At 41.3% G+C, this 12,753-nt stretch overlaps 1 protein-coding gene and 1 pseudogene across 1 annotated transcript in view, besides 1 other annotated feature; both read left to right on the forward strand.

Annotated features, from left to right (window-relative positions):
• ZNF813 (zinc finger protein 813) overlaps positions 1 to 12,753 on the forward strand; it is a 28,523-nt gene extending 15,770 nt beyond the window's left edge. The window contains exons 2-4 of the mRNA NM_001004301.4: positions 248 to 335; positions 3,130 to 3,256; positions 6,873 to 12,753. Coding sequence (NP_001004301.2) covers positions 321 to 335; positions 3,130 to 3,256; positions 6,873 to 8,584 — 1,854 coding nt within the window. The 5' untranslated portion in view covers positions 248 to 320 and the 3' untranslated portion in view covers positions 8,585 to 12,753. The remainder of the gene's footprint in view (positions 1 to 247; positions 336 to 3,129; positions 3,257 to 6,872) is intronic.
• Positions 8,581 to 9,780: an enhancer, noted in NCBI's record as "MED14-independent group 3 enhancer chr19:53995337-53996536 (GRCh37/hg19 assembly coordinates)". NCBI's record gives its function as "activates an origin of replication core promoter dependent on BRD2, BRD4, P300/CBP and CDK7 cofactors, and independent of MED14, by STARR-seq in HCT116 cells {active_cell/tissue: HCT116}" and the evidence as "EXISTENCE:reporter gene assay evidence [ECO:0000049][PMID:35650434]".
• Positions 12,330 to 12,730, forward strand: RPL39P37 (ribosomal protein L39 pseudogene 37; annotated as a pseudogene).

Below are 12,753 nucleotides of genomic sequence, written 5' to 3' on the forward strand. Positions count from 1 at the left end.
GTCAGGCCTGGGTCTGTGCCCTAAAGGGGAGCTCATCCCACCCCAGCTCCCCACTGCTGCAGCGTGTGTGTGGGCTTCTCCGGGAGGGGAGTGGGAGTTTTCCTGTAGGAGTTTATTGTCCCTGGTGTGGTCGGCAGCATAGGGGACCGTATTTCCTCAGGATGAGGTCTCCTTTGTATGTGTTGTTGTGTTACAGGGAGGGGATGTGTTGATTCTGAGCAATAAACAACATATTTCTAACATTCAGGATTGACTTCTAAAGACTCTTGGTATGTGAGGAAGAAACCTGGAAGAGGAAGAGGAAAGCAAAGGAGTCAGGGATGGCTCTTCCTCAGGTGAGATGATATTTTTGGTGGATTGTTCTGTCTCCTTCCCCTCAGAAATGCTGGGCCTTGGAGTTGGGAATCTTCTCTGAGTCTGAAGCATCCTGCCTGACAGGTTTGCTCACATTCACCCATGCCTTCCCTCAGTCCCTCTTTTCTCACTTAGATTCCATCTCTTGTGACCGAGTGACATGAACTTGGGAAGAGGCTGCACTGGGCATGGTCCTGGGAAGGGCTCACACCCAGACATGGATGGAGACGGGGTGAGGGTCCCATGGTGTCAGTGCTGTTGGGCAGCAGGGATTGTTCAGTGGCCACATGTGGATGCTCTCTCAGCTCTCTGTGGACTAGGATTAGAGCAGCTGCCAATGGAAGTCACATATTCATGTGCACAAAGTACGTGGTAAATTCTAGAAAAGGCAACCAATATGGGGAAATGTTTTCTGCCTGATTTTATAGTACATTTTTAGTTTTTTGAGTGAGTTACTGTGTTTCTGACTCCAAAAATCTTAGTAATTAGAATGGAAAGTTCATACAGACATGAATGATAGAAGATGTTTTATCCCATCATTACTTTAAGAATAGGAAATCAACCTGAATCATAGCAGGAGATTCATTCAACCATTCTTAGCACATTACGCTCATGGAGACTGTGGGGTTACTGTGGAGAGGCTTGTGAAACAGGTGTTTTCAGGAAAATGGTTATAATTTGTATTGTCATTATTATTAAATTATGATAATATTATTGTATTTTAAATATATGAAGTCTTGGTCTGTCACCTAGGCTGAAGTGCAGTGGCATGATCTTGGCTCATGGGAACCTCCATCTTCCAGGTTCAAGTGATTCTCCTGCCTCAGCCTCCCAAGTAGCTGGGATTATAGGCGTGCGTCACCCCGCCCAGCTAATTTTGTTGTATTTTTATTAGTGACGGGTATCACCATGTTGGCCAGGCTGGTCTCAAACTGCTGATCTCAGGTGATCTGCCCACCTCAGTCTCCCAGAGTGCTGGGATTACAGGTGCGAGGCACCGTGCCCAGCCCCACCAATTATTATTAAATACATATTTTTATATTTAACCATCACATGATGTATATATTTGTTTTGTGGTAAAACTCCAAGCAAAGCTGCAGCTTAGACTTTTTGCTATAAAGCATCTCCTTTCCCTGTCACGTCCTCCACCCTCCTTCCAGCCTCACTGGGGAGCCGCTACTGTCAGTTCGGTGTCAGGTGTCAGAGCAAGTCTCATACACGTGTATTTCTGCATCACTATGAGACTTAAAAAAAATTCTGCTGTAAATTAAAAAAAAATACTTTTTTGCAAAAATTAGCTGAGCACACCTGCATTACTACAGATATCTGAAGATCCCTCCAGGTCAGGCAGTTGAAAGGGTGATTGCTTCCTCTAGGATGGGGCATTTCCTGTTTTCTTAGATCTGAGAGGATTCCACCCTGCCCCCAACTGCCAATGTGTCCTTTTCCAGCAAGATGAGATCCCTCTTCAGTTCAACAAAACTTGCTACTTTTTATATTTGTAAAAACTTTATATACACACTCACATATACAATATACACACACATATACATCTCCATACATATACACACACACAAATGTATATATTTTGAACAACTTTTACAGTTTGAAAATCTGGGGAAAATGACAACCCTTTGTATTAACATCTAGTTTTTTGTGAGTCTCTGTAGGTTTCATTATTTTGTTGACATATATGTATGTCATGACATATATACATGTATGTCATGACATATGTATGTCATGATATATATCGTGATATATACATGCATGTCGTGATATATACATGTATGTCATGACATATATACACATACACACACAATGGATTTTCATACTTTGAGAAATCTAGTTTTCATGTATTTTCTTTTATTTTAAGACTGGGTCTCACCGTATTGCCCAGGCTGGAGCACAGTGGCGTGATCTTAGCTCACTGCAACCTCCACCCTCAGGCTCAAACCATCCTCCTACCACAAGCTCCCAAGTAGCTGGAACCACAGGTGCCATGCCAGGCTAATTTTTATGTGGTTTTTTTGTTTTCGTTTGTTTGTTTGTTTGTGTGTTTGTTTTGAGATGGAGTCTCTGTTGCCCAGGCCGGAGTGCAATGGTGCGATTTTGGATCATTGCAACCTCTGCCTCCTGGGATCAAGCAATTCTGCTGCATCAGCCTCCCGGGTAGCTGGGATAACAGGCGTGTGCCACCATGCCCAGCTGGATTTTAGTTTCTGATCTTTCACTGTGGACGTTGTCATCTCTGAAGGCATCACCCATACTCTGTCTCATCTAGATACTGAATGTCACTTGCTGTGTCAATAAAAGTTTCTGGGCCGGGCGCGGTGGATCACGCATGTAATTCCAGCACTTTGAGAGGCTGAGGCAGGCAGATCACAAGGTCACAAGTTTGAGGCCAATATTGTGAAAACCCGTTTCTACTAAAAATACAAAAATTAACTGGCCATGGTGGTGCGTGCCTGTAATATCAGCTACTCAGGAGGCTAAGGCAGGAGAATCGCTTGATCCTGGGAGGTGGAGGTTGCAGTGAGTGGAGACTGTGCCATTGCACTCCAGCCTGGGCAGCAGAGTGAGACTCCACCTCAAAAAAAAAAAAAGCATAATAAAACACAGCTGGGAAGACAAAATGTGGTGAAGAACCCCTTACTCGGATTTGTCAGAACATTCACTGCAATTAAATCCATGCTTTCCCCTCTCTCCTCTTCTCATTTTCTGTGAAGATAAGAACTCCTCCCATAACAATTTCCTTAAAATGTGTTTTCATTTCAGGGTCTATTGACATTCAGGGATGTGGCCATAGAATTCTCTCAGGAGGAGTGGAAATGCCTGGACCCTGCTCAGAGGACTCTATACAGGGACGTGATGCTGGAGAATTATAGGAACCTGGTCTCCCTGGGTGAGGATAACTTCCCTCCAGAAGTGGGGATGTGCCCTTGTGTATCTTTGTATTTTCTCTTGTTTTTAGATACAGTGTCTTGCTCTGTCACCCAGGGTGGAGTGAAATGGTGTGATCATGGCTCACTGCGATCTTGAATTCCTGGGCTCAAGTGATTGTCCCACCTCAGCCTCCCCCAGTAGCTGGTACAGGTGCATGTGACCATGTCCGGCTACTTTTTTAGTTTTTTTTTTTTTTTTTTTTTTTAGAGAATGTTCTTACTGCGTTGTTGAAGTTGGTCTTGATCTCCTGGGCTCAAGAGATCCTCCTCAGCCTCCTGAGTAACTGGGATTACAGGCACCAACCCCCATAACTAATTATTGGCTTTTACTTTTAAAATTTTTGCATATGTATGTCCTTAAGGCCAATATGAGTCTTCTGTAGAAAACATGTAGTTGGTTCCTGTTGATTCAGCCAGTCTTTGCCTTCTGAGTGCAGAGTTAAATATTTACATTTGAAGTATTACTGATGGAGAAGACCTTACCATTGCATTTCTGTTACATATTATCTGTATTGTAGATTTTTTTTGTTCTTCATTTCTCATTTACTACTTTTTGTGTTTAATTGCTTTTTTGTGTAGACATGCTTTGACTCCCTTCTTATTTACTTTTTTTGTTTGTTTGTTTATGATGGAGTCTCACTCTGTCGCCAAGGCTACAGTTCAGTGGTGCGATCTTGGGTCACCGCAACTGGCTCTGCCTCTCCAGCTCAACCGATCCTTGTGCCCCAGTGGCTCATGCCTGTAATCCCAGCACGTAGAGAGGCCAAGGCAGGCAAATCACCTGAGGTCAGGAGTTCAAAACCAGTCTGGCTAACATGGCAAAACTCCATCTCTACTAAAAATACAAAAATTAGCCGGACACTGTGGTGGGCATCTGTAAGCCCTGCTACTCAAGAGGCTAAGGCAGGAGAGTCGCTTGAACCTGGGAGGTGAAGGTTGCAGTGAGCTGAGACTGTGCCATTGCCCTCCAGCCTGGGCAACAGAACAAGACTCTGTCTCAAAAAAAAAAAAAAAAAATTCCATAACCTGCAAAAACTTCTCTTTCTCCACCAGAACTCTTTATTTATGTCAGAATTATTTGTGTATGTTGCATTTTCATCAACATATATGTATATTGTGTTTTCATGCTTTTTTTCTTTTAAATAATAGAAAAAAAGTTGAATTATGAAGAAAAGGTACACTTACAACAGTTTCTGTATCTGTACTTTTATTTGCCTATTCATTTATTTATTTATTTGTTGGTGAGATGAAGTTTTGTTCTTGTCGCCCATGCTGGAGTGCAGTGGCACAATCTTGGGTCACTCCAACCTCCAACTCCCAGGTTCAAGTGATTCTCCTGCCTCAATTTCCCGAGTAGCTGGGATTACAGGCATGTGCCACCATGCCTGGCTAATTTTGTGTTTTAATAGACACAGGGTTTCTCCTTTTTTGTCTGGCCGATCTCAAACTCCTGCCCTCAGGTGATCCATCAACCTCAGCCTCCGAAACTGCTGCGATTACAGGTGTGAACCACCGCGCCCTGCCTGTCTGTCTTTTAATTTACCTTTACTGGAGAACTTTATATATATTTGTGGGTTGGAGTGACTCTTTAGACTTCTTTCATTTCCTTTTTTTTCTTTTTTTTTTTTGAGATGGAGTCTTGGTCTGTTGTCCAGGCTGGAGTGCAGTGGCATGATCTTGGCTAACTGCAACCTCTGCTTACTGGGTTCAAGTGATTTTCCTGCCTCAGTCCCCCAAGTAGATGGGACTACAGGCACATGTCACCACACCCGGCTAATTTTTTGTATTTTTTTTTTTTTTGTAGAGGTGGAGGCAGGATTTCATGGTGTTAGCCAGGATGGTCTCGATCTGACCTCGTGATCCTCCTGCCTCAGCCTGCCAAAGTGCTGGGATTACAGGCGTGAGCCACCGCGCCCAGCCGTTAGTCAATTCTTATTCCTTATAATGCTGTGTATATTTTTGACCTCATAAATTAACATGTAGTGATCTTAACATGTATTTCAGTTCTTATATTGTGTTCTGGTGGTATATAGAAGTTGTGGCTTTTTTCTTAACAGGGAATTGTTTAGAATTCTGCAGGTTGTATAAATGTACTTGTTATTTGCTTGCTAGTTTTATGAGTTACAATATTTTACTAACTAATTTTTATGATTGTACATAAAGCTTTTCGGTATGTGGTATGCAATATAACTGACACAGTCCACTAGTTAATGTCATTTTTTTTTGAGACAGAGTTTCACTGTTGTTGCCCAGGCTGGAGTGCAATGGCGTGATCTTGGCTCGCTGCAACCTCTGCCTCCTGGGTTCAAGTGATTCTCCTGCCTCAGCCTTCCCGAGTAGCTGGGATTACAGGCATGAGCCACCACACCCGGCTAATTTTGTATTGTTAGTAGAGACGGGGTTTCTCCATGTTTGTCAGGCTGGTCTCGAACTCCTGACCTCAGGTGATCCGCCTGCCTTGGCCTCCCAAAGTGCTAGGATTACAGGCATAAGCCACCGTGCCTGGCATTAATGTCACATTAACTGGGGCACTGTGGCTCGTGCCTGTAGTCCCAGGACTTTGGGAAGCTGAGGCGGGTGGATCATTGAGGTCAAAAGTTCGACCACAGCCTGGCCAACATGGTGAAACCCTCTATCTACTAAAAATACAAAAATTAGCCAAGCATGCTGGCATGTGCCTATTATCCCAGGTACTCAGGAGGCTGAGGCAAGAGAATGGCTTGAACCCAAAAGGTGGAGGTTGCAGTGAGCCAAGATTGGGCCATAGCACTCCAGCCTGTTGTGACAAAGTGAAACTTCATCTCGAAAATAAAAAAATACAAAAATTTTTAAAAGAACGTCATAACGTGCCTTTTCTGCATAGGTATAGGTAATTTTATGACAGTAATTCAGAAAAATATTGTATTAACTTTTATTTTGAGATTAAGTCTCACTTTGTTACCCAGGCTGAAGTACAGTGTTGCAATCTCAGCTCACTGCAACCTCTGCCTCTTGGGTTCAAGCGATTCTTGTGCCTCAGCCTCCTGAGTAGCTGGGACTACAGACGTAGGCCACCACGCCTGGCTACATTTTGTAATCGTTTCTTACCTTTTCAGTGCTATGATTGTTTGACAATACAGAATTTCCATTGATTTTGGTTATCCTTACATGAGCTTGTTGTGGATTATTTACCAATATGGTATATCATGTGGTCCTTTAGCATTTATTTGTATACAGCAAATATGCTGTAAATATGAAGAATATATACTTTTCATTGGTGTGACGGTGATATGTTTTTTGCAAACTGTTAGACACTTTACGGTCACAGTGGAAAAATACTCCTTACTTTAGGCTTATACACATTTGTGCACTGTCAGTGTTTTGTCGTGATATTGGAAATAGGGTTCCGTAGAGATGATTTGAAGCACATGTAATAGCCCTTTATCTAATAAAGAATCTTACGCTTTTGTGTTCCTAAACTTTGAAGATCATGTTGGGGAAGTTTAAAATGAGTATTTTTTGTGTCACATTTACACATTTCAGTATTATTTACCATCTGTACTGAACTGGAAACCTATTCGTGTTTATATTTTGTAGATATCTCTTCCAAATGCATGATGAAGGAGTTCTCATCAACAGCACAAGGCAATAGAGAAGTGATCCACACAGGGACATTGCAAAGACATGAAAGTCATCACACTGGAGACTTTCGCTTTCAGGAAATTGATAAAGATATTCATAACTTAGAGTTTCAGTGGCAAGAAGATGAAAGAAATAGCCATGAAGCACCCATGACAGAAATCAAAAAGTTGACTGGTAGTGCAGACCGATATGATCAAAGGCATGCTGGAAACAAGCCTATTAAAGATCAGCTTGGATCAAGCTTTCATTCGCATCTGCCTGAACTCCACATGTTTCAGACCCAAGGGAAAATTGGTAATCAAGTGGAGAAGTCTATCAACGATGCTTCCTCAATTTCAACATCCCAAAGAATTTCTTGTAGGCCCAAAACCCATATTTCTAATAACTATGGGAATAATTTCCGGAATTCTTCGTTACTCACACAAAAACAGGAGGTACACATGAGAGAAAAGTCTTTCCAATGTAATGAGAGTGGCAAAGCCTTTAATTATAGCTCACTCTTAAGGAAACATCAAATAATCCATTTAGGAGAGAAACAATATAAATGTGATGTATGTGGCAAGGTCTTTAATCGGAAGCGAAACCTAGTGTGCCATCGTAGATGTCACACTGGGGAGAAACCTTACAGGTGTAATGAGTGTGGCAAGACTTTCAGTCAGACGTATTCCCTTACATGCCATCGTAGACTTCATACTGGAGAGAAACCTTACAAATGTGAAGAATGTGACAAAGCTTTCAGTTTCAAATCAAACCTTAAAAGACATAGGAGAATTCATGCTGGAGAAAAACCATACAAGTGTAATGAATGTGGCAAGACCTTTAGTCAGACGTCATCCCTTACATGCCATCGTAGACTTCATACTGGAGAGAAACCTTTCAAGTGTAATGAGTGTGGCAAGACCTTTAGTCGGAAGTCATCCCTTACATGCCATCATAGACTTCATACGGGAGAGAAACCTTATAAGTGTAATGAATGTGGCAAGACCTTCAGTCAGGAGTTAACCCTTAAATGCCATCGTAGACTTCATACCGGAGAGAAGCCTTACAAGTGTAATGAATGTGGCAAGGTTTTTAATAAAAAGGCAAACCTTGCACGTCATCATAGACTTCATAGTGGAGAGAAACCCTACAAGTGTACTGAGTGTGTCAAGACGTTCAGTCGAAATTCAGCCCTTGTAATTCATAAGGCTATTCATATTGGAGAGAAACGTTACAAGTGTAATGAGTGTGGCAAGACGTTCAGTCGAATTTCAGCCCTCGTAATTCATACGGCAATTCATACTGGAGAGAAACCTTACAAGTGTAATGAATGTGGCAAGGGTTTTAATCGGAAAACACACCTTGCATGTCATCATAGACTTCATACTGGAGAGAAACCTTACAAGTGTAATGAATGTGGCAAGGTTTTTAATCGAAAAACACACCTTGCACATCATCATAGACTTCATACTGGAGATAAACCTTACAAGTGTAATGAATGTGGCAAGGTTTTTAATCAAAAAGCACACCTTGCACGTCACCATAGACTTCATACTGGAGAGAAACCTTACAAGTGTAATGAATGTGGCAAGGTTTTTAATCAAAAAGCAAACCTTGCACGTCATCATAGACTTCATACTGGAGAGAAACCTTACAAGTTTAATGAGTGTGGCAAAGCTTTTAATTGAAAAGCAAAGCTTGCACATCATCATACAATTCATACTGGAAAGAAACAAGTGCAATGAGTGTGGCAAGACCTTCTGTCACAATTCAGTCCTTGTAATTCATAAGAATTCATACTGGAGAGAAACAAGTGTAATGAACGTTGCAAAATTTTTAATCAACAAGCACACCTTCCACGTCATCATAGACTTCATAGTGGAGAGAAACCTTAGAAATGTGAAGCATGTGACAAAGTTTACAGTGGCAAATCGAGCCTCAAAAGACAGGAGAATTCATACTGGAGAGAAAGCTTACAAAGGTGAAGAATATCACAGAGTTTTCAGTCACAAGTCAAACCTTGAAAGACATAAAATAAATCATACTGCAGAGAAACCATAAAATTGTAAGAGTTCGTGACAAGGCTTTCGGGCATGACTCACACCTGGCACAACATCCTAGAATTTATACTGGAGAGAAACCTTACAAGTGTAATGAGTCTGGCAAAGCCTTAATGAGCAGTCAACACTTACTCACCATCAGGCAATCCATGGTGAAGGAAACTTGACTAATGTAATGATTGTCACCAAGTCTTCAGTAACGCTACAACCATTGCAAATCATTGGAGAACCCATAAGGAAGAGAGATCATACAAGTGTAATAATCGGCAAATTTTTCAGACATCGTCCATACCTTGCAGTTCATTGGCGAACTCATACTGGAGACAAACCTTATAAATGTCATGATTGAGGCAAGGTCTTCAGTCAAGCTTCATCCTATGCAAAACATAGGAGAATTCATACAGGAGAGAAACCTCACGTGTGATGATTGTGGCAAAGCCTTTACTTCACGTTCACACCTCCTTAGACATCAGAGAATGCACACTGGACGGAAATCTTACAAATGTCATCAGTGTGGCAAGGTTTTCAGTCTGACTTCACTCCTTGCAGAATATCAGAAAATTCATTTTGAGATAATTGTTCCAAATGCAATGAGTAGAGCAAACCATCAAGCAGTAATTGACATTAAAGTGTTTATGTTAAGAGGATTGGGCCAGGTACAGTGTCTCACACCTGTAATCCCAGCACTTTGGGAGGCCAAGGCGGGTAGATCACTTGAGGTCAGGAGTTTCAGATCAGTCTGGCCAACAAACATGAGCCACTTTTCCCAGTTTGCTTTTTGTTCTTTAACAAAAACTGATAGGGATTTTTATGGGTACCGTGTTGAATCTAAATCACATTGGGTTATATAATCATTTAACAATATTAATTTTTCCAATCCATCAATATGGGTTATATGTCTGTATATGTTTTTAATCATATTGATGTATATTTGTAGATTTCAAGGTACAAACTTCTCACCTTTTTACTTTTATTTCTATTTCTTTAAGTTCTCTAGCAAATGGAAGTGTTTTTAAATTTTCTTTTAAAATTGTTTATTGTTACAAACTTCTCATCTTTTTGCTTTTATTCCTAAGTATTTCTTACTTTAAGTTCTCTAGCAAATGGAAGTGTTTTTAAATTTTCTTTTAAAATTGTTTATTGTTAATGTATGGAAATTCAGCTAATTTTTGGTGCTGATATTGTACTGTGCAGATACACTGAATCTGTTTATTACTTCCAGTAGTATTTTGGTTGAGTCTTTGTGATTTTCTACACAGAAGATCATGTCATCTACAAACACATATAATTTTACTTCTTTCTTTCTGATTTGGATGGGTTTGATTTCTTTTGCTATTTCATTGCTCTGGCTAGGACAGCCAGTATTTATTGAATAGAAGGGGTGAGAGCATTCTTCCATCATGTGAGATCCTACAGGAAAATCATTCCATGTTCCCTGCTTCGTTATCTACTCGTTGGTCATTTCATGGATGGCCTTTCTATTGTTGAGGTAAATTTCCTTTTCTGTCTATTTTGTTCAGAATTTCTATGATGAGTGGATTTTGAATTTTGTGAAATACTTTTTCTCCATCTATTGAGATGATGTGGTTTTCATCTTTCATTCTGTTCAAGTGGCATATCACATTGATTTGCTTGACTATGTTGAACCATCCTTGCATCCCAGAAATAAGTGGCACTTGAGTATCTACAGTCCTTTTTACATCCTCTTGAATACAGCTTTTTAGTACAAGGGGTCTTCAAGAAGTTCATGGAAAAATACATATTTTGCATATTATGAGAAAATTGTGTATGAATTTCCCAGTTTTTGCACCAAAATAAACTGGTACGAATCTGTTATGTCTGAACAGGTCCTAGTTTGAGGCACCCAGAAGGATAAGACATGAGTTTTAAAAGAGACTTTCTCTGCCGGGCGCAGTGGCTCATGCCTGTAATCCCAACACTTTGGGAGGCCAAGGTGGGTGGATCACCTGAGATCCAGAGTTCGAGACCAGCCTCACCAACATGGAGAAACAGCATCTCTACTAAAAATACAAAATTAGCCAGGCATGGTGGCAAATGCCTGTAATCCCAGATACTCTGGAGGCTGAGGCAGGAGAATGGCTTGAACCCGGGAGGCAGAGATTGCTGTGAGCCGAGATTGCACCATTGCACTCCAGCCTGGTCAACAAGAGCGAAACTCTGTCTCAAAAAAAAAAAAAAGAAAAGAAAAGAAAAGAGACTCTATCAAAGCAATATAAATCCTGCTAAAATTGAAACAAAAAGGAGCATCAAATTTACAGTGAGACCAGATGCAGTGGCTCAGGCCTGTAATCCCAGCACTTTCAGAGGCCAAGACAGGTGGGTCATGTAAGCCCAGGTATTCAAGACAAGCCTGGGCAACATGGTGAAACCCCCTTGTCTACAAAAAATACAAAAATTAGCTGGGCACGGTAGCACATGCATGCAGGGCCAGCTGCTGTGGAGTCTGTGGTAGGAGGATAGCTCGAGCCTGGGAGGTTGAGGCTGCAGTGAGCTATGATCATGCCACTGCATTCCAGCATGGGTGATGGAGCGAGATACTGGCTCAAAAAAAAAAATACTTCTTGTAAAGTTTGGGTAGAGGAATAATGAAATCATTGATGCTTTATGAAAAGATTATGGAGATGATGCCCAGAAGAAATAAACAGTTTGTAAATGGATAACTTAGTTTGAGTTGGGACAAGACAATGTTGAAGGTGATGCATGGAGTGGCAGGCACACCATCCACATCAGTTTTTTTGTTTGTTTTTGTTGTTGTTGTTTTTTTGAGATGGTGTCTCGCTCTGTCTCCCAGGCTGGAATGCAGTGGTGCAATCTCGGCTCACTGCAACCTCTGCCTCCCGGGTTCAAGTGATTCTCCTGTCTCTGCCTCCTTAGTAGCTGGGACTACAGGCGCGTGCCACCACATCAGCTAATTTTTGTATTTTTAGTAAGACGGGGTTTCACCATGTTGGCAAGGCTGGTCTTGAACTCCTGACCTCACGATCTGCCCACCTCAGCCTCCCAAAGTGTGGAGATTACAGGCATGAGCCACCATGCCCCTTGCACATCAGTTTTACAAAAAAATTTATCTTGTTTGTGCCACAATGAAGAGGACTGACAGGTAACAGCAGAAACAATAGTCAGGAGTTTGAGAACAGGCTGATTAACATGGTGAAACCCCGTCTCTACTAAAAATACAAAAATTAGCTGGGTGTGGTGGCGGGTGCTTGTAATCCCAGTTACTCAGGAGGCTGAGGCTGCATTATCGCTTTAACCTGGGGGGCGGAGGTTGCAGTGAGCCAAGATGGGGGCAATAAGAGCAAAACTTTGTCTCAAAAAAAAATAAATAAATAAAAAATAAAATATGTCAAGCCCCTTCTCTTCCTGTCTCCTCTCGTGGTGTGTACTTGACTCCCCTTCTCGCCAGATCTCACAGGACTTTCAGATTTAAGCAATACCTGGCCAAGAAACAAAAGCAAAATCATTCCATTCCCCCAGTGGATTCAGATCAAAACTGGTAATAAAATCAGGTACGACTCCAAAAGGAGACATTGGAGAAGAACGAAGCGGGGTCTATAAGGAATTGCACGTGAGATGGCACACATATTTATGCTGTGTGAGCATTACAATCGCGTTACCATATCAAGCTGAAAATGTCACCACTATCTGGAGTGTTGGAAATGTTTTATTGGGAATATGTTTTTTCTCTGAATCTGCTATGAACACGTCAGTTGGGTGGGTTCAGTAATAAATATGTGAGACTTTTCATTTCAAAATAAAAAAGGCAAATGATGTAA

This window comes from Homo sapiens, chromosome 19 (genome assembly GCF_000001405.40).
Source record: "Homo sapiens chromosome 19, GRCh38.p14 Primary Assembly".
NCBI classification, from domain to species: Eukaryota; Metazoa; Chordata; class Mammalia; order Primates; family Hominidae; genus Homo; species Homo sapiens.